The 24,323-nt window shown below is 37.3% G+C and overlaps 1 protein-coding gene across 17 annotated transcripts in view; it reads left to right on the top strand.

Moving 5' to 3' along the window:
- EYA3 (EYA transcriptional coactivator and phosphatase 3) overlaps window positions 1-24,323 on the top strand; it is a 118,267-nt gene that overhangs the window by 16,662 nt on the left and 77,282 nt on the right. For 10 of the 17 annotated variants that reach the window (NR_104214.2, NM_001282562.2, NM_001282561.2 and 7 more), the window contains 2 exons: window positions 13,855-13,955; window positions 23,523-23,566. Coding sequence is in view for 13 of the 17 variants with exons in the window: in NM_001282561.2 (NP_001269490.1) it covers window positions 13,923-13,955; window positions 23,523-23,566 (77 nt within the window). In the remaining 4 variants the exon portion in view is untranslated. Of the gene's footprint in view, window positions 1-13,854; window positions 13,956-15,311; window positions 15,318-23,522; window positions 23,567-24,323 lie in introns of those variants that run through there. The other 7 variants (XR_007096080.1, XM_011541004.3, XM_006710449.4 and 4 more) reach the window with 2 other exon arrangements.

Below are 24,323 nucleotides of genomic sequence, written 5' to 3'. Positions count from 1 at the left end.
TCAAGAAATGATTAAGTTCCTAAATTTTACCCTTATTTACTTTGTTGCTTGAAGTTGGAATTAACAACTTTACTTGGTTAAATTAGCTGAGCTTTTATAGTTTCATTCTGTTTGATCTGTACATTTTTGTAAAGGGTAGTTAAATGGCATATTCAACACTGACATGAACTTTTGATGCAGCAGCCAAAAGTAATTATGATTTCTTTCAGAATATGTCTTTAATACCTGGCATATTTTATCCTGGATTCTATTTCAGTGTTTTTCTTCCAGCTTGAAATATTCTATGAATATGTTTAGAAAGAATTTCAGGGCTCTATTCAAGACAAACAAAAAAGAAATCCCAAAGAAAAATACATGCAAAAAAGTAATTGTTGAGTTAGAAAAGTCACGTTTTTCCAATGAAAAAAATTTCTGATCATTTAGTACCATATTATGATGTGTTTATCAACGTTCTTGATATAGTGCTAAGCACAGTGTTACAAAGTTAAAAATTAAATATTTAGTAAATGATTTATGGAGGAGCATATTACTGTATAACTATTACATGAGAGAAATGCAAAATAGGAACTTCAATCAAAACAGAAAAATATGAGCTCAGTCTTGAGGCATAGTTTACGTAAGATTGTTATTTAAGATAAATTGGAAAGGAGGACTTTTATATATTTCAGGTTTAACTCTAGCAGTAATTTTTTTCCCTAAGCAGAACACATCAAACAGTATGGTGAGGCTAGGCGTAGTGGCTCACGCCTGTAATCCCAACACTTTGGGAGGCTGAGGCAAGCAGATCACTTGAGGTCAGGAATTCGAGACCAGCCTGGCCAACATGGTGAAACCCCATCTCTACTAAAAAATACAAAAATTATCTGGGCGTGGTGGTAGGCGCCTGTAATCCCGGCTACTCCTGAGGCTGAAGTAGGAGAATTGCTTGAACCTGGGAGGCTGAGGTTGCAGTGAGCTAAGAGTGCGCCATTGCACTCCAGCCTGGGTGATAGAGGGAGACTCCATCTCAAAACAAACAAAAAACAGTATAGTGAATGTATGCAGACTTTAAGTGCTGTCTTGCAAATACTAGTGTTGAGTTTGTTAAGGCGTTGGAAAGATCTTGTAAGATTTCTCAAGATCCATGAAGTACCTGGGACTGTCAGTGTTATTGTTACCTGGGTATTTCTTCCACTATATAAATTTAAAGTTTATCCCAGAGTGACAGCAGGAGAATGCTAACTTTGGAATTATGTAACACTTTCATTAGAGAGGCAAACTTGACAATTATTTGGAAAGTTTTTAAGTGTTTTATGTTTATTATTTTTAATGTCTGGAAGCATTTTTTTTTCAGCTGTATGTACAGTTGTGTTCTCTTATCTTATTTACATTTCTTTCTCTTTTTTTTGAGACGGAGTCTCACTCTGTAGCCCAGGCTAGAGTGCAGTGGCATGATCTCGGCTTGCTGCAACCTCTGCCTCCTGGGTTCAAGTGATTCTTCTGCCTCAGCCTCCGGAGTAGCTGGAATTACAGGTGCCCACCACCACGCCTGGCTAATTTTTGTATTTTTAGTAGAGACGGGGGGTTTCACCATGTTGGCCAGGCTGGTCTCGATTTCCTGACCTCAGGTGATCACCTGCTTTGGCCTCCCGAAGTGCTGGGATTACAGGTGTGAGCCACCGCACCCGGCCCCTTACTTAGATTTCTTCATTTCCCACTTTCGTTTTCAGTTTGTCTGTTTCATTCAGTGGTCAGGAGATGGTCAACAAGCCCAAACAGAGAGGTAATAGCAAAACCAAGCAAACAAAAAACATAAACTTTGCTATTTGTATTAGTTTCTTGTGGCTGCCATAACAAATTACCCCAAACAGACTTTGAGGCTTAAAACAACAGAAATTTATTCTTTCACTTCTGGAGGCCAGAAGTCTGAAATCAGGGTGTTGGCAGGACTGAACTTGCTCCAGAGGCTTTAGGGGCAATCATCCCTTGCCTCTCCCAGCTTCTGGTGGCTGCTGACATTCCTTGACCGTAACCCTCCAGTCTCTTCTTCCATTTTCACATTGCCGTCTTCTCTGTATGTGTGTTAAATGTCTGCTTTTCTCTTATAAGGATATTTGTGATGGCGTTTAGGGCCTATGTATAATCTCATCTCAAAATCCTTAATAACATATGCAAAGACTGTTTTTCCAAATAAGTGAACATTCACAGGATCTGGGTATTAGGCTATGGACCCATCTTTGGCTAGAAATCTATTTCATGATAACTGTGTGTATATGTGTTTGGGAAAGGGGATTTCCCCCCTCCTCTCTTCCTCTTCTACCCCCTCTTTCCCTTCCTTCCTTCTCCTCTTCCCTCCCTTTCTCCTTTCCCTCCCACCCTCTTTTTTTTTCTTCTTCTTCTCTCTCTTTTTTTTTTTTTTTTAAATAGATTGGGTCTCTTGCTGTGTTGTCCAGGCTGGTCAACATACCAGATTACCAGATTACTCCTGGGCTCAAGGGATCCTCCTACCTCAGCCGCCCCTTCCCACTTTGACCCCAGCCCCAGTTAAAATTACTTGTTTTGGCCGGCCATGGTGGCTCATGACTGTAATCCCAGCAGTTTGGGAGGCCGAGGTGGGTAGATCACTTGAGCTCAGGAGTTTGAGGCCAGCCTGGGCAACATGGTGAGACTGTCTCTACTAAAATACGAAAAATTAGCCGAGTGTGGTGGCATGTGCCTGTAGTCCCAGCTACTTGGGAGGCTGAGGCAGGAGAATTGCTTGAACCCAGGAGGTGGAGGTTGCAGTGAGCTGAGATTGTGTCACTGCTCTGTTTCAAAAATAAATAAATAAATAAATAAAATTACCTGTTTAATTAACAGTAAGTCAGGCTGGGCACTGTGGCTTAAGCCTGTAATCCCACTTTGGGAGGCCAAGGCGGGCGGATCACTTGAGACCAGGAGTTCGAGACCAGCCTGGCCAACATGGTGAAACCCTGTTTCTACTAAAAATACAAAAATTAGCCAGGCATGGTGGTGGACACCTGTAGTCCCAGCTACTTCAGAGGCTGAGGCATGAGAATCGCTTGAACCCAGGAGGCGGAGGTTGCAGTGACCCAGGATTGTGCCACTGTACTCCAGGCTAGGTGAGATTGTGACACTGTACTCCACCCTGTCTCAAAAAATCAAAAAACAAACAAACAAAAAAACCCAGTAAATCAAAGTCTGTACATTTTAAATTAAGGACTTACGGTTATAAAGAGAAATCAATTTGTTTTTGTGGGTTTTTTTGCTAGCCTGTACAGGGAGTTAATACGTAGCATAAAAAGAATGTCAGGGAGCTCTCTGAGTCTGAATCTTTTCTGATTCTGAGGGCTGCCAGATTCAGAAGTAGCTCTTTGTTCAACTAAGCTCTTTATTCCTCTAAAGAAAAAAAAAAAAGGAATGTTATTTTTGGATTTTTAGGAGGTCCTTAAAGTGCCAATCCATACATTGAAAAAGAAATTTTGAGTTTAAATTTAAAATATTTAAAAACGTTAAGAACATGATGTTATATCATAAGATCAAAGTAATGTAACATAGGATAGAGATGTAATGAAAGAAAAGGAATAAGTAGCCTAAGGTAATAATATTAGGAATGTAATTTTTTTTTTTTTTTTGAGATGGGAGTCTTAACTCTTGTTGCCCAGGCTGGAGTGCGGTGGTGCGATCTTGGCTCACTGCAATCTCCACCTCCCGGGTTCAAGCGATTCTCCTGCCTCAGCCTCCCAAGTAGCTGGGATTACAGGTGCCTACCACCACGCTAATTTTTTTTATTTTTAGTAGAGACGGAGTTTCACCATGTAGGCCAGGCTGGTCTCGAACTCCTGACCTCAGGTGATCCACCTGCCTCAGCCTCCCAAAGTGCTGGGATTACAGGCATAAAGGAATGTAATTTTAAAAGGGAGGGTTTTATGCTCAATTCCACATAAAGAGGACAAAAAACTTCAGACAAGGGAGTTCAGAGTTTTGGATTCCACCACTGTTTCTGCTGCTTACAGGTTCATGAGGCAGTGCCTTCTCTTTTGTTTAATTTCCTCAACTTTAAAATAAGGATTACATTTAATGATCTGTGATACTCTATCCTTTGTAGCATCTTTTGTTATATATTTTCTTGCATTTCCAAGAGAGAATCGTGTCTGTCCAATAGAGTGAAACCAAATGTGAAGTCTCTTCCAATAGCAAATTCTTTAACTATTGGAAGTTCGTTGCTTTTGCTTAGAGCTGTAAAATGAACCAACCCTGAGTTTGTGTACAGTGTCTAAATAACTTCTTAGGAAAGAGATGACACAGCCAGAAAATCAAATGAATCTTTCTGCCTATACTGTTGTCACAAACAGGGTAAGATTTTTTAGGTAAGGCAAGATCACTGTGATTTGAAATGCTTTTCCCTCAAAACTGAAATTTTTTTTCTAATGGAAAAAGTTGGGGGCAAGAATGAAGAATTTGTGTCTAATTTTAGCTTAATGTCTTGAACATTTTTTATATAAGCATTTAAAAATATGTATTTAAACATTTTACTATACTTTTAAATGTAAGCTTTGTATCTGCTTTTGATTCTTATCAAATTATATGTAAGCTATTATTAAACTAACATAAAAACATGTATTCACCTTTTAAATAAGCTTGTATTGAAATAGTTTACAGTTACAGTGTAGTTAAACTTATTGTTCACATGTTGTTTGTTTCTCATTTTTCGTTTCTGTAGACAACAAACTTATACTATTTTTAAAAGTAGAGTTTGCTTCTTTCCCCCCTGTATGTAATTCTTGGGTGAGCACCTAAGAAAAATTATTCAGATTAGGCTGTGGCCAATCTTATGACCTCTTTTATACTTTATCCAGGAACAGTCTGAAGACACATATGATTTTACAGCTGTGCCTGACTGAATATGTCTTTATCTTCTCATAACCCAGATAACACTTGGTTTTATTGTTTAGATTTTTTTTGGTAGCTTAATATGTATGAAGTCGTATCTTAAGAATATTGCAATTTATATTTCTCCAATTAGTAGTGAGACAGTCTTTTTTCTCAAGTGCCGATTGAATCTCTGTGGTTTAAACTGCCTGTTTTTATCCTTTGACAGGTTTATGAGTTAGTCATTGTTTGCTCCCTAATAATAGATGATCGGGAAATGTTGAATTGGTTTGGTTTATATTATAAACATTGTTTTATTTATCATAATTCTTGCAGATATTGCCTGAATTTATAATATTTTAATCTTAGATTTGTTTTTTTCATTGCATGAAAGTTTATTTTACATAATTGGATTTGTCAAATTCTTGTTTATGCTTTCTTTGAATTGACCATAAATTCATCTCTTTTCCATAGTGAGATAAGCTTACTGTTCTGTTTTCTCCAAAGTTTTTTGAATGTTTAGTTTTTTAATATATTTATAATTACTTACAGCATATGTTGATGTGGATATTTTTTGCATGTTGGTATTCAGTTTTTCTGACAATGTTTTCTAAATACTGATTTTTTCTCCATTTATTTCATATTTTAAATACTTTATAGATTTGATCTTTTTTTGGCATTTCTAATCTCTTAGGGTTTTTTTTGTATTTTTTATTGTAAAATATACGTAAGATAAAATTAACTGTTTTAACCATTTTTAAGTAAGGTAGTACCCCCACCATCTGTAGTTTTGCTTTTGGCGGTTTTAGTTACCTTCTATCAACCTTGGTCTGAAAATATTAAATGGAAAATTTCACAGGCAAATAATTCATCAGTTTAAAATTGTGCACTGATCTGAGTAGTGTGATGAAGTCTCTCTCCATTTTGCTCTTTCCTGCCTGGGTCATGAATCATCCCTTTATCCAACATATTCATGTTGTAGACACTTCCCGCCTGTTACTCACTTAGGAGCCGTCTTGGTTATCAGATCATTTGTTGAGGTATCTGCAGTACTTGTGTGTTCGAGTAACTCTTTTTTGTTTTTTTTTTTTGAGACAGAGTTTCACTCTTGCCCAGGCTGGAGTGCAATGGCGTGATCTCAGCTCACTGCAACCTCCGCCTCCCGGGTCCTGGTTCAAGCAGTTCTCCTGCCTCAGCCTCTTGAGTATCTGGGATTACAGGCATGCGCCACCATGCCCAGCTAATTTTTGTATTTTTAGTAGAGATGGGGTTTCACCATGTTCGCCAGGCTGGCCTTGAACTCCTGACCTCATGATCCGCCCGCCTCGGCCTCCCAGAGTGCTGGGATTACAGGCATGAGCCACTGCACCCAGCCTGAGTAACTCTTATTTTACTTAATGGCCCTGAAGAGCAAGAGTAGTGTTGCTGGCAATACAGATACACCAAAGAGAAGTGCATTAAGTGAAAAGGTAAAAGTTCTCCACTAAATAAGGAAAGAAAAAAAATCATATGCTGAGATTGTTAAGATCTACGGTAGGGCTGGGTGTTGTGGCTCACACCTGTAATCCCAGCACTTTGGGAGGCCGAGGCGGGCGGATCATGATCCAGACTATCCTGGTCAACATGCTGAAACCCCGTCTCTACTAAAAATACAAAAATTAGCTGGGCGTGGTGGCACGCATCTGTAGTCCCAGCTACTCAGGAGGCTGAGGCAGGGGAATCGCTTGAACCCAGGAGGCGGAGGTTGCAGTGAGCTGAGATCTCACCACTGCACTCCAGCCTGGTGACAGGGAGAGACTCCATCTCAAAAAGAAAGAAAAAAAATCTATGGTAAGAACTAATCTTCTGTCCATGAACTTTTGAAGAAGGAAAAGAAATTCATGCTAGTTTTTCTGTCACACCTCAAACTCCAGGTTTTGGCCACACAGTGTGTGAAAACTGCTGAGTTAAAATTTATCATAGGTATATATGTATAGGAAAAAAGACAGTCTATATGGGTACCATCTGTGGGTTCAGGGGTCAACTGGGGGTCTTGCAGTGTATCCCCCCCTTGGAAGGGGAGACTACTGTATACAATTCAGTGGAATTAAGTACATTTACAATGATCTGCAGTCATCATCACTATTATCTAGTCTCTTTATTTAAGGTATTTTCACTTCAACCTGCAACATTATTGCTGTTACTCTTGGACAAATTGTTTAAATCTCTGAATCCCAGTTTCCTTGTTTGTAGCATGAGGATGATAATACCACCTGCGTCTTAGTTGTGGAGACAAAATTTGATGAGATAGTGAATATAAAAATTACTTGGAGCTGGATGCAGTGGCACATGCCTGTAGTCCCAGCTGCTTGGGAGGCTGAGGTGGGAGGATTGCTTGAGCCCAGGAGTTTGAGACCAGCTTGGGCAACATAATAAGACCCTCATGTCTTAAAAAAATAAAAAAAATAAAAACTAAAAACTTTGTGTATTATATATGCTCAGTAAATGATAGTTCTCTTATCTTTCCCACTATTATTGGTTTTAAAGAATGGTGTAGACAGGTTTTCCTTAAATGGCCTCTGTTGTTCTCCTTTCTCCCAAAATATTCATTATTAATTTTGTCTAATTTTCATTAAGAAATTTGTAGGTATTGGAGTAAACCTTTGTTCACTTCTTTTTTTTTTTTTGAGGCAGAGTCTCGCTGTCTCGCAGGCTCTATATATTTATATATATATATATAGAGAGAGAGAGAGAGAGAGGATGGCTTGCTTCCCTCTCTACCTAACTGCATGTTGAAAAATAAGCATTTGTTAATCTTAAACATCTGTCACATGAGTCATACACTGGGTTGTTTTTTATATACGTGTATGCACACATTATTTGAAATTGAAAGCAACGTCTCAATGGATTTGAAACTATTAAAGGCTATTGTCTAAAACGTGAAAAATGTATAACTAAAAATAAATGCACATATTAATATTTAAAGTGCATAATTAAGAAAACCTATTGGTGTTTTGTTTTTCTTGTATACCAATAATTAAGCCACTACTGTTGACACTATTTGGCTTTCTGTTTTAACATTGAATGAGTGAAAGTACTTCTTATATTTATGAATTTGCTGCTAAAATCTTGGCCAAAAAAAAAAAATTGTCTAAAATGTGTGGGTGAAAAATGTTAATCATGTATGTTTCTACCTTCCCCCCCAAAGTTGGACACCAACTATATACCGTAGGTTGCTTAAGGTGATTTCACTATTGTTAAATCAATAAGATAAAAATGAAATAGTTGTGTATATGCAACATTGTGTACAGAGGAGATAATGAATAGTATTAAACGTTCTCATCTTCCTTTACCTTTTGTTCCCTAATACCTATTCTACCTTTTAAAATTTCAGACTTCACTGCTCTTTGAATTCATAATTCAAATTTGCACATTATTATTATTGGAAAATCATATCTAATAAAGGTTTTAGGCCGGATGTGGTGGCTCACACCTGTAATCCCAGCACTTTGAGAGGCCGAGGCTGGTGGATCACTTGAGGCCAGGAGTCTGGGACCATCCTGGCCAACATGGCAAAACCCCATCGCTACAAAAATTAACCAGGTGTGGTGGCGCACACCTGTAATCCCAGCTACCTGGGAGGCTGAGGCATGAGAATTGCTTAAACTGGGGAGGTGGAAGTTGCGGTGAGCCGAGATTACGCCGCTGTGCTCCAGCCTGGGTGACAGAGCAAGATGCTGTCTCCAAAAAAAAAAAAAAAAAAAAAGGTTTTAGTTATTTCCCCCCCCAAAAAAAATTAAAAATAAAAAAAAATATATATATATATAAGGCACTTTGGAAAGTGTAGTAAATAAACTTAAAATACAATGTAGTCAGTGAGCAAATCTATGGACTACCTTTTTTCTATGTGGGACTGTGTCATAGATATCCAGTTAACTCCTGAATATCTCTGTACATACTTAGCTGCATGCAAATTCTCTTTCTAGGACCTATAAATCAGACTTTGCCTTACTTAGACACTTCTTTTGAAGTTGTAATTAAGAGTGATATATGCCTTGTTTTCATGGAAAACAATTTGACCTTTATTCTGTGCTTTTTTTTTTTTTTTTTGAGATGGAGCGTTAGTCAGTTTCCTGTCGCCCAGCCTGGAGTGCAGTGGTGCAATCTCGGCTCACTGCAACCTCCGCCTTCTGAGTTTAAGCAGTTTTCCTCCCTCAGCCTCCTGAGTAGCAGGAATTACAGGCGCGTGCCACCACGCCAGATTAATTTTTTGTATTTTTAAGAGAGACAGAGTTTGACCATGTTGGCCAGGCTAGTTTGAAACTCCTGACCTCAAGTGATCCGCCTGCTTTGGCCTTCTAAAGTGCTGGGATTACAGGTGTGAGCCACTGCACCCAGCCTATTCTGTGCTTTTAAACAAACAGAACACACACACACACACACACACACACACACACACACCTACATATATTTAATTTCTCTTCCTAAGCCTAAGAGCTTTAATAACACATTGAAGCAACCTAATTTCTTGCTTATGGCCATTTACATTTACAGGGTACATAGTATGTTGAACTTGGGACAAAACAGAAACTATGAGGTAGGAATCTAATTTGAATTTTGAAATAAAATATTTGTTACTAATTATTTCCCTTCTAACTTCTAAAGAGTAAAAATAAAATTTATGGCTGCCATATTACAGAAAGATCCTGCTTTTATTTTTAAGCATGCAAAATCTCAATAGTATTCAAAATTGTGTGGCTCTTGAATCAAACCAAAGTTTCTATTTTTTCACTGTCAGCATTCACAGGTAGAGAAGTGTAAAGTCTTAGGAAATACTATTTCTATTCTCAATTTAAAATTTTCTCAGAATTCTGTCCATGAAGGCAAATGAATACTGACAAGCTCTATTTCCAAAAAAGGTGATAAAACAAGTGTATTTAGAAACCAGTAGTAAGAATTGAAATTAGAAAATTGTGAAAAGACATTACTTTCCAAATGTTCTAAAGGTACTTAAAAGATTAACTCGGGGCATGTCTTGTAATTTCATCAGCTGTTTGACTAAGTTTTAATTTATTTTAATTACATTAAAAATCCACTTTTCACTTCTGTGTTACAACTGTTGTATTACTTGATATTTTAAAAGATGAATCTCACTGAATGTAAAATAATGTCAGGTTACATTAATGGTAAAAACAAACAAACAAACAAAAAAAAACCGTTGACCGGGCGCGGTGGCTCACACCTGTAATGCCAGCACTTTGGGAGGCTGAGGTGGGCGGATCACGAGGTCAGGAGATCGAGATCATCCTGGCTAACACGGTGAAACCGCGTCTCTACTAAAAATACAAAAAATTAGCCGGGCGTGGTGGCGGGCGCCTGTAGTCCCAACTATTCAGGAGGCTGAGGCAGGAGAATGGCGTGAACCTGGGAGGCGGAGCTTGCAGTGAGCTGAGATCGCGCCACTGCACTCCAGCCTGGGCGACAGAGCGAGACTCCATCTCAAAAAACAAAAGACAAAAAAAAAAAACACGTTAAATTCTAGAACTAATACAAGGAAACTAATACTAAGATTTTTACAGTAATTCTGTACTTCTTTTATTACCAAGTTTTGCAATATTGTGTCTTAGTTATACTGTATTTTCATCTCTTGCTAGTAAGTATGACTTTTGATTGTATAGCATGCACCACTTGTGGAAAATGGTATGAAGTCTTAATAAAAGTTTTAAACATTGATAAATGCTGGGACTGTGATGAATACTTGCATTCTTATATTTAGTATGTTCTGATATTTCAGGTCTTTCAGGGTACAAATTATTGGAAGGCAGGAGAATACTGTATTGATGGAAACTAGTATTTAGATGAATGTTTTGGTAGAATTACATAATTTGTGGTCATTAGTGCATTTTATACAGAATGTACCAGAATGTATGTTTGCAAACTTCCCACACATTGTATGTTGCCAGTAGAATCCCGGGGGATTTTGTAATCTATTCTTTCCTTGTAGGCAGCTTTTTGTTTTAAAATGATCAAAATTATTCGTGGTCATTGACCAGTTATTTTGAGATAGCAAGCCTGGTTTTTAAACTTTTCTTTTCTTTTCTTTTTTGAGACAGAGTCTCACTCTGTCACCAAGCTGGAGTGCAGTGGTGCGATCTCAGCTCACTGAAACCTCCGCCTCCCAGGTTCACGCGATTCTCTTGCCTCAGCCTCCCAAGGAGCTGGGACTACAGGCTTGCGCCACCACGCCCAGCTAATTTTTGTATTTTTAGTAGAGACAGGGTTTCACCATCTTGGCCAAGATGGTCTTGATCTCCTGACCTTGTGATCCGCCTGCCTCGGCGTCCCAAAGTGCTGGGATTACAGGCATGAGCCACCATGCCTGGCCAGTTCTTTTCTTCTAAATGTAGAAATTATTTGTGTACTTTTTATTCTCCTAGATTGAAAAGCCAAGAAGACAGAGAATTTTAAAGATGGAAACAACAAAGGGTGCTTATTTTCACAGAATAGATGTAGAAAGGAATGTCTTTAAATGTTTCCCTTAAAGAAGGTTTTCTTGCAGCTTACAGAATTTATGTCAAGAAATAGTAGATTCTTCTTTTTCTATTATAAAATCAATTTAATATTACCATATTTCTAAAAAGCAAAATTCAATATTTTAACATTTATTGATAATTTATATCCCCACCATTTATACTAATGTTTCTATGTTTTTTCTTTTAAAATGATTCTTCATTATTCAACTTGATAGAGCGTTTTCTTACTTTTTAAAACCCATGACCCCTTTTGACCTGTAAGTAGTATTATGTTCTCCTTTAATGTAATTCAGATTTTTAAAACGAATTAGTTTTTGTGTTTAAAAACAAAATTAAACCACATTATTGAGTGTGTATACACATAAATATTTTTTAACAATTATTCTTACCTTCCTCCTATCAGAGATGAAATTTATAACTCTTCCCCCATGGTGGAGTGGATATCCCTTTTATCTCCCTTGCTGAAAATATACTAGAGATTGTAGTTTTATAGTCATGGCCTTCAATTAGGGAAAACATGTAATGTTGTAAGTTTTCTATGGATGAGAACTGGTCACACAAAAAATCAACAACTTGGCCAGGTGTATGCCTGTAATCCCAGCACTTTGGGAGGCTGAGGCAGGCAGATCACCTGACGTCAGGAGTTCAAGACCAGGCTGGCCAACATGGCAAAAACCCATCTCTACTAAAAATACAAAAATTAGCCAGGCATGGTGGCGCGCCTGTAGTCCCAGCTACTTGGGAGCCTGAGGCAGAAAAATTGCTTGAACCCGGGAGACGGAGGTTGCAGTTAGCCGAGATTGCGCCACTGCACTCCAGCCTGGGTGACACAGCGAAACCCTATCTCAAAAAAAAAAAAAAAAAAAAAAATCCAACAAATGAGGTATTGAAGGTATTCCATTTCTCTAATGATGTGGTCCTATTTTGTTGTTTCTAATGGGATGAAATAATATATGTACATAATGTACATTTAGACAGTATAAAATGAAAAGGATTGTCCCTTAAAGAAAAGATACTTCAATTTGAAACTAAGACATAAACTAGTAAAACCAAAAATGTTTGATCTTTCATAGCTGTGAATCAGTTTTAGGTCACATTGACTGTGTTGTTCTAAGCTGAGCAAAACAAGTGCAGGGAAGATAGCTCCTATGAGCTTTACTTATTGCACTCTGTAATTCTGTATCACTAGTTACCTGTGTCATGTAGTAGGAGAACTTAGCTTTTGAGGCTCTGTGTATGAGCTACAGTGAGAGCATTGAGCATCAAGTGCTTCTGACCTTTAAACTTCTTTTTTCTTTTGATATTCTAAATTGGGGTAGGGAATAAAGCTGTGTTAGAGTTGGACAACTTTGCATCTAATTGTAACCTTATGTGTGTTTTCTCTCCTTTTCACATTCTGGAGTGTGGCTCTAAAATAAAGTTGTGTTGTATTGCAACACGACAGAGTAATAGAAGTAGAGTGGTGGTATACTGGCATAACAAGTTTTTGGTTTTCTTGTTATTTGTCTATTTTCAGTACTTGTGTGATAAGATTATATACTTACTTTAGCTTTGTATGTGAGTTAGGTACAGTGGTTGGTAGAAAAGCTAAAAACAGCTGTGACTTTAATTAAATATACAAGCAATCACATCTTTTGGGAGAAGTGCTGGTTTCACTTTTGTTAGATAGAAATGGAGTATTTCATTTTTATAATGTATGCAGCTTTCTAATTTTTGTCTCTTTGTCTCCTGTCAGTAGGACATGGTAAGGTGGACTTAGAATCCCATTTTTCCTTTTTTGTTTGAAAATCAGGACAGAAAGAGCAGGGTCTGAGAACGTAAAGATTTTGCTTAAATAATTGGGCAGTACAGTTAGTAGAAGTTCATTATTTCAGAATTAAATTAGGTCCTATCTTTGGATGATTATTTTCTTTAGTTCTAAAAGTCAAGGTTTCACTCTACTTATTTATTTTTATTATTGAGATGCAGAAGAATTGAGTTTTCCTTGAAATTGATGACATATAGACAGATAGTTGGTTGTGAATGCATTTAGTTGATATTCCGGTTTGTCCTATTTAAAGTGATTCTGTGTGTCTGTGTTAACAGTTATGTAAATGTTCCACATTAAAGCAGGTTAGATGTTATCATAACTTGCTGACTTGCTAGGCCAGTCCCTATCATTTTTAGTGTAACTCTAATCCTTAAAAAAATATTTTATTATCTGCACGTGGCTGTCATTGTAAAATGTTCAATGCATTAGGCACCATAGTAACCAGCAGAAGTGGTTCCACATGTTGGCTTTTGCAAGGTATTATAAAAGTCATTGTGTACACCTCTCTTGATTTGGTGTAGCATGTCATTTTTGAAAAGCCACGTGCAGGTTTGAGATTTTGTGATTGGAACTCACGTAGAAAGCTTGGGGTAGCAAGATACTAAAAAATCATTCTCTGATGGCCTCAATGATAATACTTTAAGAGTGTATAAAGCTTTGAATCCTCCTTTTTAAAAACAGATTGTGAAAACTGCTGAGAGAGACTTGCAATCCAGTCACATAAGTATAATAAAGAAATATTGGTCCTCATGGAAGAAGAGCAAGATTTACCAGAGCAACCAGTAAGTATTTCCTTTAACAGTTTAAAGTTGATTGTAGAAGAGCTAATCTTAAGAGATTTTAATTATTATTCAGTTATAGATTCCAAATTAGAAATAAAAATAAGGAAAAGATTCCTTGTTTCCTTTCAAGAAAACAATGTTATATTTTTCTAACTTAATTCTAAGGAGTCTAAGGAAAATTTAGCATTACGAAATGAATATTGCATTTAGAAATGTCATTTAAAAAAATAAGTGGCTAGTGTTACAGTTTTTAGAAAATAAAAGAGGACGTCTCTTTACTGATCTGACAGTATATCACCATTTCTACCAGAAAATTTAGTTTTGTTTTTACCTAAATTTCCTTGAGAGTTAATTTTTTAAAAAGTAGTAGTAGTGAGGAAGTTATAATTTGACCACTAGCTAATTCTTAAAAACAGATAAAACCCTAGAGACTATATTGAATTCTTAATTTCTTTTAAATATTGAACATAATAAAATAATTTTAAATGTCCCCAGGTGATATGGGTTTATCTTCTTTTTGGTTTTTGGCCCTTAATATTTAAAAAACAAAAGCAATAGTGTCATTCTTTTAAGATAACTTTTATGCTAGAGGGTCTTTTCCTTTTGTCTTCAGTTTCTTTCTCTGAAGTTTGGTAAATACCGATTCAATTTGCTATCCTGAGTGGGCCTCTTACATTTCATATTAAGAGAGGATACAGCATGGTACATGTTTACTTTATGAAAATCTAACCTATAAAAATTTGAATTTTGAAAGCAAATAATAGGATATGTTTTTCGTGTTCTAGTTGTATTCTTTAGGTATACTAGCTCCCATTTAAATGATAAAGTCCTTTAATATATTTTAAATATTTTTCTTTATATTGAGAAATGCATATTGATGATTACTTTGTCATTATTCTTCTAGCCCTCTCAGTTGAGGTAAGTATAAAACTAGGAAGACATTAGCAACTGGTAAAAAGACCTTTTGAAACATTTGAAGTGTGATCCCTATCCCTGGTGGGACTTTAATTATCAGGGAAATGGTAGGGTTAAAAATTATCTTGAGCAGTGTGTTTAGGATTTACACTACTGGAACAAATAGCTGAATTATAGATACTATATGTACCAGGAAAAATTATGCCATTGAGTTTTTAATGTGGTAAGACAAAGGTCTAGTCATATTTTTAAAAGACTTATGTAAGTGTTGACATACTGTTGAAATATGGGTATTGTTAGTTACTCCTTACCTATTTAAGGTAATGAGAATTGTGAGGCTGACCTGCTAACAAGTCATCTATCTCTTCTGCCCTGCTTCATTTCCTTGTCATTCTCTTGAACTTCTGTAACATGATGTGCAAAACCTGATTATTACTTCAGAGAAAGGTAAGAAATTGAAGCACTTTAAAACCAAAATTTCTGCTGACTATAAATGGTTGTCACAGGGCATTATTTCCTTATTGATTTATGCCCAGATCTTAATATAAAAAGGTGATTGAATGACGACATGGAGAGATCAGTGCCACTGAAAGAAAAGTTGAGTGTTTACTCATAGTTCCCCTTGAAACAAGAGGCATAGCATGCCACACGGGGGAAGTACCACTGTTGGTCAGGAGGCAAAAAAGAGTGGGAGGAAGGCACGGGCCACAGACTTAATGAGGTTTCCACAGGAAAAGCAAGGTAGGCAGGGTAAACAGCTTAGCGTTGACTAGTTTGAATAATTCTTCAGGCTTTGTGGCCTGTGGACTATCCCTGGTTTTCTGGTGGTACTTTGTCCTGGGTTGATTTATGATTTAGGGCAGGAGAAATAGGGGCTTAGTGTGTGAGAGTTAGATAAAGGAGGTGGTTCAGAGTATGGGCACTGGATCTCAGGGGAGATAAAAAACAAGTTTGGCCTTGAGTTTGGCTCTGTAATTAATGGATGTCAAACAGACAAATACAGAATCTATGAAAACACAATACTTATTAATGTTTAAAATAGAACAGGAAGAGTAATGACACATTTTGAGGTAAAAAAAAAAAGCTTTTCACAGGCTGTAGTGGAGATCTAAAATATGAGTGGAAAGAATGGTCCCATCCCAAGTTGATGATAAAGCCAATATTTTTAATCCTAGAGATGTTACTGATGGTCGTTATTATTGAAGTTATTTTAATCCCATTGTCTCTTCTTGACTCTTCCTTATTGAATTATCCCTTCTCTTATTTCTCCACTAATTGCTAGCTCTACCTCAAGATTTTGTTCAGATCGGCTGGACGTAGTGGCTCATGCCTGTAATCCCAGCACTTTGGGTGGTGGAGGTGGGTGGATCACTTGAGGCCAGGAGTTTGAGACCAGCCTGGCCAACATGGGGAGACCCCATCTCTACTAAAAATACAAAAATTAGCCAGGTGTGGTGGCACTTGCCTGTAATCCCAGCTACTTGGGAAGCTGAGGCAGGAGAATCGCTTGAACCCAGGAGGTGGAGGTTGCAGTGAGCCGAGATTGTGCCAGTGCACTCCAGCCTGGACAACAGAGTGGGTGAGACTCTGTCTCAAAAAAAAAAAAAAAAAAAAAAGATTTTCTTTAGATAACTCACAATGCAATAAATTTTAACTTCAGATTCTTTCACTTTCCCTTTATTGCTTATCAATCTTCAACTGAGTTGTAAATAACTTTGTTATATTACTATAAATCACCTTCTAAAAATGCAAGAATCTTATCCACAGATGAGGGGATCCTTTTGACTGATTATTGTACAGCCTCTACTTGGAGAATAGAGTATAAAGAACAGCAGTGGATTGAGAATAAGAAATACCTCACACTACAGTTTACACACTGAGAGTCCCTGAAGAAGTAACATCATCACCCTTTGATACCTTAATTAAAAATCTTAGTCTTTCCAGCTTTCCGTCATATACTTTACCTATTTATAGCCTAAATCTTTTAAGCTATCAATAAAGATGTTGAGTGTTCTTAGAGAAAATATATAATAGCTCCAGGTGATTGTCATATCCTTTCTAGGTGTCTACAAAGGTCTGTTCAGTAATCTGTTTTAGAACACTGTCATCAATCAGCATTAAGTTAGCACTAGTTTATAGTTTCCAGCATCTAATTCCTCTCTACCATCACCTTTAAATTAAAACAAACAAACAAACCAAGTAGTGAAACATTTCTTTTTGTTTTGTTTGAGACAGGGTTTCACCCTGTCGCCCAGGCTGTAGTGCAGTGGTGCCATCTTGGCTTACTGCAGCCTCCGCCTCCCAGGCTGAAGCAATGCTCCCACCTCAGCCTCCCAAGTAGCTGAGACTACCAGCACACCCAACTAATTTTTTTGTATTTTCAGTAGACACGGGGTTTTGCCCTGTTACCCAGGCTGGTCTCGAACTCCTGGGCTCAAGCAGGTCCCCCACCTTGTCCTCATTTCTTTATATTCTGTTTCAAGCACCTCTCTTATTCTCTGTGATTTTTCAGAGATGATAAACACTGGTTTAGCAATCATGTTTGTTAAGTTACAGGTCTATGGGATAAAGCTTCTGTGAATCTGGAGGGTTAGAACTTATTTAAAATAATTGAGGTGCTTGCTTATAAATATGGGAATAAACTCTTTTTGAAAAATTTAGGTATGCTATTGTTTACATTTTGTAGATTACTCTTCTTGATAGAGAAGACAAAAAGATTTTTTTGCCTCCATCAGAAGTCACACCTAACATGCAGTGGTAGAACAGGAAGTTGTCTCTGCCATAAATATTTACCTCTCTAATAATTTGGAATGCTTACCTCCCTCTCTAGGTCCTGCTTTCCTTATGTTAAGTTCTTGAAGTCAAATTAATAATTAGATAGCTATTAGTAAGCACAGTCAATGAAAATGGCATTAAATTGTTTTTTGTGTGAAATTTCATCTAGGTTATGATCAAACCCTTTACCCCTCTAGCATATGGAATATGACTTTTTAGTAAACAGAACAGTGTCCTTCTGTTTGTTGGACAGTGTTGGATAAATCTTGACATAAACATCCTTTTTATAGTCTCCATGACGACTTTTACCCTACCATTATATTTATTATTGCCAAGATTACAATTTACCTAGCACTAGCATGCTTTTGCCTCTTGTTTAAACCTTCATAGCCATTACTTGTAAGTCATCACAGAGTAATTTCAGAATGACATTTGAGATGCTTAATACAATTTTCTTAACTAGAGAGTCCTGTTTCTTAAGCCTGTCTTGAAATTTCTGGGATTCAACTTTGTTCTTGCTGTCTATGGTAATAACACTAAAATTTAACAATTACATAGCGCTTTGTTTTTCATAAGCAGTTCACTCTTTTCCTGTTTAAATTTCATCTTTACATATTATGTTAACAGTGCACATCCTTAAGTTTATTCAGCCAGCATCCTTGTACTGTTAATGCTGCTGTTTCCTGCTGTTGAAACATGAGCCCTATGAAGTAGGTAGTTGTATCTTCTTTTTTACAGGTGAAGAAACAGATACAGAAAAGACACGCAGTGAATTAACTCTCAGAACTTAGCCTTGAGCCTGGATATTCTGAATTTGTATACTGGGTTTTTTGTTTCCTTGCTGTGTTATATTTAAAGTGTGATTATACATTGTAGCAGAAGCAAAAATAGAATGCTGATTTATGAATTTGTCAGTGCTTCTTTCTTTTTGTGTTATCATTAGCCATTATATGCCCATAGGATTATGTCATTTTTTAAGATACCAGCTTTATTGACATGTAATTTACATATCCTACAATTCACCCTTTTAGCGTATACAGTGCAGTAGTTTTTAGTCTATTCTAAAATGGTTTTGTAACCATTACCAGAATAAATTTTAAGGCATCTTCCTTTTTTCTTTTTCTGTTTTTTTTTTTTTTTTTTTTTTTTTGAGACGGGGTCTCATTTTGTCACCCAGACTGGAGTACAGTGGCACAATCGTGGCTCACTGCATCCTTGAACTCCTGGGCTCAAACAATCCTCCCATCTCACCCTCCTGAGTACCTAGGATTACAGGTGTGAGCCACCACACCCAATTGTTTTTTAAATTTTTTGTCGAGATGGGGTCTTACTCTGTTGCCCAGCTGGTCTCAGACTCCTGACCTTAAGCAATCCTCACTCTGTTGCCCAGGCTGGAGTGCAGTGTCACTATCTCGGCTCACTGCAACCTCCACCTCCCGGGTTCAGGTAGTTCCCTGCCTCAGCCTCCCAAGTAGCTGGGATTACAGGCGCCTGCCACCACACCTGGCTAATTTTTGTATTTTTAGTAGAGATGGGGTTTCACCATCTTGGCCAGGCTGGTCTTGAACTCCTGACCTCGTGATCCACCTGCCTCAGCCTCCCAAAGTGTTGGGATTACAGGTGTGAGCCACTGCCTCCGGCCTATATTTTTACAAGTGATGAGAGCATACATATTCTCCTAAGAGTTTTATAGCTTTAGCTTTTACATTTAGTGCTTTGATCCATTTTCAGTTAATTTTTGCATATGGCTTGAGGTACGAGTTCAGCTTTATTTGTTGAAAAGACTATTCTTCCTTCGTTGAATCATCGTGGCACTTTTGCTGAAAATAATTTGACTGTAAATGTGGTACCCTTCTTGAAAATCAGTTGACCCAACAAATGTAGAGGTCTATTTCAGGACTCTCAATTCTGTTCCAGTGATCCATATATCCATCCTTATGCCAGTACCACACGGTCTTGATTACTCTAGCTTTATAGTAAGTTTTGAAATTGAAAAATGGGGCTGGGCGCAGTGGCTCATGCCTGTAATCCCAGCAATTTGGGAGGCCGAGGTGGGCAGATCACCTGAGATCTGAGACCAGCCTGGCCAACATGGTGAAACCCCATCTCCGTTAAACATACAAAAAAATTAGCCAGGCATGGTGGCACGCACCTGTAGTCCCAGCTACTCGGGAGGCCAAGGCGTGAGAAATGCTTGAACCCAGGAGGTGGAGGTTGCAGTGAGCCGAGATCGCACCACTGCACTCCAGCCAGGGTGACAGAGTGAGCCTCTGTCTTAAAAAATAAAAATAAAAAAGAAATGGAAAAATGTGAGTCCTCTAACTTTGTTCTTTTTTTTTTTTTTCAAGATTGTTTTAGCTATTCTGGGTCACTTTCATTTCCATATGAAATTTAAGATCAATTTGTGAATTTCTTTAATGCAGCCAGCTGGGATTTTGATTGGATTGACTGTAGACCAATTTGGGGAGTATTACCATCTTTACAAGATGAATTCTTCTTTCCCTGGATATGGGGTGTCTTTGCATTTATTTAGCTCTTCTTAAATTTCTTTTAACGTGTATTGTACTTCTTCTTCTGTTAGGTTTATTCCTAAGTTTTTTTGTTTGTTTGTTTGTTTTAGACAGAGTCTTGCCTTGTCACCCAGGCTGGAGTGCAGTGGTGCAATCTCAGCTTACTGCGACCTCCACCTCCCAGGTTCAGACGATTCTCCTGCCTCAGCCTCCTGAGTAGCTGAGATTATAGGCGTGCACCACCACACACAGCTAATTTTTGTATTTTAGTAGAGATGGGGTTTCACCATGTTGGCCAGCCTGGTCTCGGACTCCTGACCTCAGGTGATCCACCTGCCTTGGCCTCCCAAAGTGCTGGGATTAGAAGCGTGAGCCACTGGACCCGGCCATATTCCTAAGTATTTTATTCCTTTTGATGCTATTGTGAATGGATTTTTTTTTTCATTTTTGAATTGTTCACTGCAAGTATATAGAAATATAATTGATTTTTGTATGTTTGTCTTGTATTTTGCTGCCTTGCTGAACTTGTTTATCAGTTCTAGTGGTTTCTTAATGGATTCGTTAGGATTTCTGTATACAAAATTATGTCATGCAAAAAGAGATTCTGATTTTTTCACTTTTAACCCTAACGGAGCTTTTTCAGCTTTATTGCTTTCTTACTTCCTGGCAGCTTGTATTACTGTCCTACTACTGTCCTGGTATGGCCCCAATTCCTTGGATACCAGCTGCTTGTATAATCTATACTGGTTTTGTTAATGAAAATTGTTCTCTGTAGGACTGGTTGCTACTTGAATCTTTGCTCACTTTGCTGTGTAGTTTTCAGTATTCATTATTGCAAGTACTATGTTACTCTGTAAACTCTCCAGAAAATTGTTGCTCAATCTTTGCTATTTCTCTTAACAACCAGGAATCATTTTCTGTCAGTTTCTAGCTTGTATTGTTTGAACTGATACTTCTATAATTGAGTAAAATCTGTCTGTCTTCTTTAGTTAATTTACCTGCCTCTACTGCCTAGTTAGTACATGCTTCCTATCCCTGCCTTAGAGGGGGGCATAATTGCTCAAATCAAGACAAACAATGGGCCATATGAGGTTAAAAACAAAACAAAACAAAAAAAACATTGTAACACCCTTTCCTTCCCCAGACTTTTCTGCTTGGTAGATATGACTTTAGATACATTTTCTCCCTTTCTATTTATGAATATATACTCTGCACTGGGTTGGCACGGTAATAAATTAAAAATGAAGGAGCGTAAAGAAGCATAATTCTTCCTTGAAAGTAAATAAATTTTTGGCCAGGCGCAGTGGCTCACGCCTGTAATCCCAGCACTTTGGGAGACCAAGGTGGACGGATCACTTGAGGCCAGGAGTTCGAAACCATCCTGGCCAATGTGGTGAAACCCGGTCTCTCCTAAAAATAGAAAAAATAGCAAAATTAGCTGGGCATGGTGGTGTGCACCTGTGGTCCCTGCTACTCGAGAGGCTGAGGCACAAGAACTGCTTGAACCCGGGAGACAGAGGTTTCAGTGAGCCGAGATTACGCCATGGCACTCCAGCCTGGGTGACAGAACAAGACCCTGTCTCAAAAAAAATAATAATAATAATAATAATAATAATAAATAAAAAGTAAATTTAAAAATGTTGCTCCAGGACCTTTTTTTTAAATCCTTTTTTCTTTTGGAGTTGATTAACTAAATTTGTTGCTCTATACCTCTAATAAAATGAAGACTATGATAAGTTAGACTCCTCAGTGCTCTAATTTTCTTTGTTTAAATTACTGTTTGAAGAGTATAGACTGTTTTGGTTACTCAGCCAACCAGCTCGTAATTACATTTCTTTGATAGCAAAGAGTCTTTGGATGAGCTAAGCATAAATTCATCTCCACTATTGGAAGAATATATTATTATCTGACCATATGTAACTACTATCATCTTTAGGTAGGAAGGGCAGAACATTTTATAAAAAAAGGCTATATTTTGTCATTTGTGAAATTATGGCAGGCAGATAAACTAGATAGTTGAATTTTTCTTGTCTTTAGCCTTATAGTTTCCAGGCAAAACACTGTTTTCCTATATTATCTAGGTCAGATCATATTTCCCTCACCTCTTTCAGTGAGATAGTCGTATACATTGGTAATACAGTTAGATTTTTTTGTCACAGTCTGCATACTATCCTGGAATCCCTCAACCTCCTGGTTGTTTTATGGTGTCTTTTATCATATAGAAGTTTAAAATTTTTGTGTAATCATATCTATTTTCTCCTTTATGGCTTTTGGATTTAATGTCATGCTTAATCAGGATTTGCCCACCTCAAGGTTTCGTTTTTTGTTTTTGCTTCAAATGCTTTAATGTAATTTTTGTTTCAAATTTAGAAATGTTTTTTTAAATTGCCTTTGTTTCTTTATTTTCTCCTTTTTGGTAACTATGAAAATTAAGAGAACATTGAATGGAACACATTTTGACATGCCATAAGCAAGGAACCAAGAATGTCTGGTCATGGTTGTGTATTCTCATGAGGAGTATATGGCCACGACAAATTTTATGGGGCTTGCCTGTATTATTTACCTTGTCTGAAATAGTCAATGTAATATTAAATATCTATGATTCCACCTGATACGCTTGCTTCAAATTATCTAGGAGAGTTTCTGCCTTCTTCTATTAGCTTGAAATACTTTTAAATATTCATAATTTGAATGGCTAAGCATATTAGACATGTTTCTACTACAACCAGTTCTAACCAGAGAGTTCTAAAATCAGATTCTCTGTAATATGAAAACAGAAAAATCCATTAGTATTAACCATTATCTTTCATTTGTGGATTCTTACACTGTTTCAATGGAAGTGCCTTCTCCCCAGAAGGAAATAGAAAATGTGAAATATGAAAAGAAAAAATACAGGGTTAACAATATTTTCTAAATTACTGGTAACCTGATAAGAATTCATATTAATTTTTGACACTAAACTAACTTAAGTATAAAGCCATTTTTGTTAAATAAATGAGTAGATGATACTTAGATTCCCATCTTTACTGTTTGTTTAAATATAATTTGCCTGTTACAGTATAAAACCAACTAGTTTGTATCAAAGCTTGGATACTTTATCCTAGTAAACATTCTGTCTACCTTGAGTAAAAATTCTGGTAAACAGTTTTTTTTTAATCAGAAGAACACTTTTTTCATTAAAAAGAAGAGCTCCATTTAAAAAACAAACTTCATTTCTAGCTCTAAAATATAACAAGGGTTAATTAAATCTAGACTAAACAAAATTAAACAGTTATCCTGTAATAGTTAATAGCCTGTTGTTTGAGTAGCTAAATGATTTAAAAAACAGATCAAGTACATTGATACCTTTGTATATTTATTTTTGCAGGTGAAAAAAGCCAAGATGCAGGAATCAGGAGAGCAAACTATAAGGTATGTAAAGTTTGCTTTCTTTTTAATGAACTACTCATAAGTTTTGTTTTTTTTTTTCACATGCTGATTAGCGTATGGGCATGCTTTGCCCTCTTTTTGGTTCTTACCATCAGCTGTTACATTTTGAAATTATTTGGTTTAAGATTAAAATTTCCTTTCCAAATAGTTTTTTCCTGAAACTTGTGCACTGATTTGTTCTTATGCATTCATTATTTATTCAACAATATGTACCAAACTCATGTTGTATATCAGGCACTGTGCTACATAGAGGAGACTTAATGGTAAAGATGAAAAGCACCATATTCTTCAGTCAGACGTACAATATACAGAATAGGAAGCATAAGCGAAATAAATAAAATCCAAGAGATTTGGTATTAATTACCAAATGGTTATGAAATGACTTAGTCATTAACCCCACTCCTCTTATAGAAAAGAGGAAGCTTGCGCCTGGCACGGTCGCTCACGCCTGTAATCCCAGCACTTTGGGAGGCTGAGGCGGGCAGATCACGAGGTCAGGAGATCGAGACCATCCTGGCTAACACGGTGAAACCCCGTCTCTACTAAAAATACAAAATTATTAACCGGGCGTGTTGGCGGGCGCCTGTGGTCCCAGCTACTCAGGAGGCTGAGGCAGGAGAATGGTGTGAACCTGGGAGGTGGAGCTTGCGGTGAGCTGAGATCGCGCCACTGCACTCCAGCCTGGGCGACAGAGCGAGACTCTGTCTCAAAAAAAAAAAAAAAAAGAGAAAAGAGGCAG

Source organism: Homo sapiens, chromosome 1 (genome assembly GCF_000001405.40).
Source record: "Homo sapiens chromosome 1, GRCh38.p14 Primary Assembly".
Classification (NCBI taxonomy): domain Eukaryota; kingdom Metazoa; phylum Chordata; class Mammalia; order Primates; family Hominidae; genus Homo; species Homo sapiens.
The sequence above is the reverse complement of the archived record's forward strand: the minus strand, read 5'-3'. Positions and strand labels throughout refer to the sequence as shown.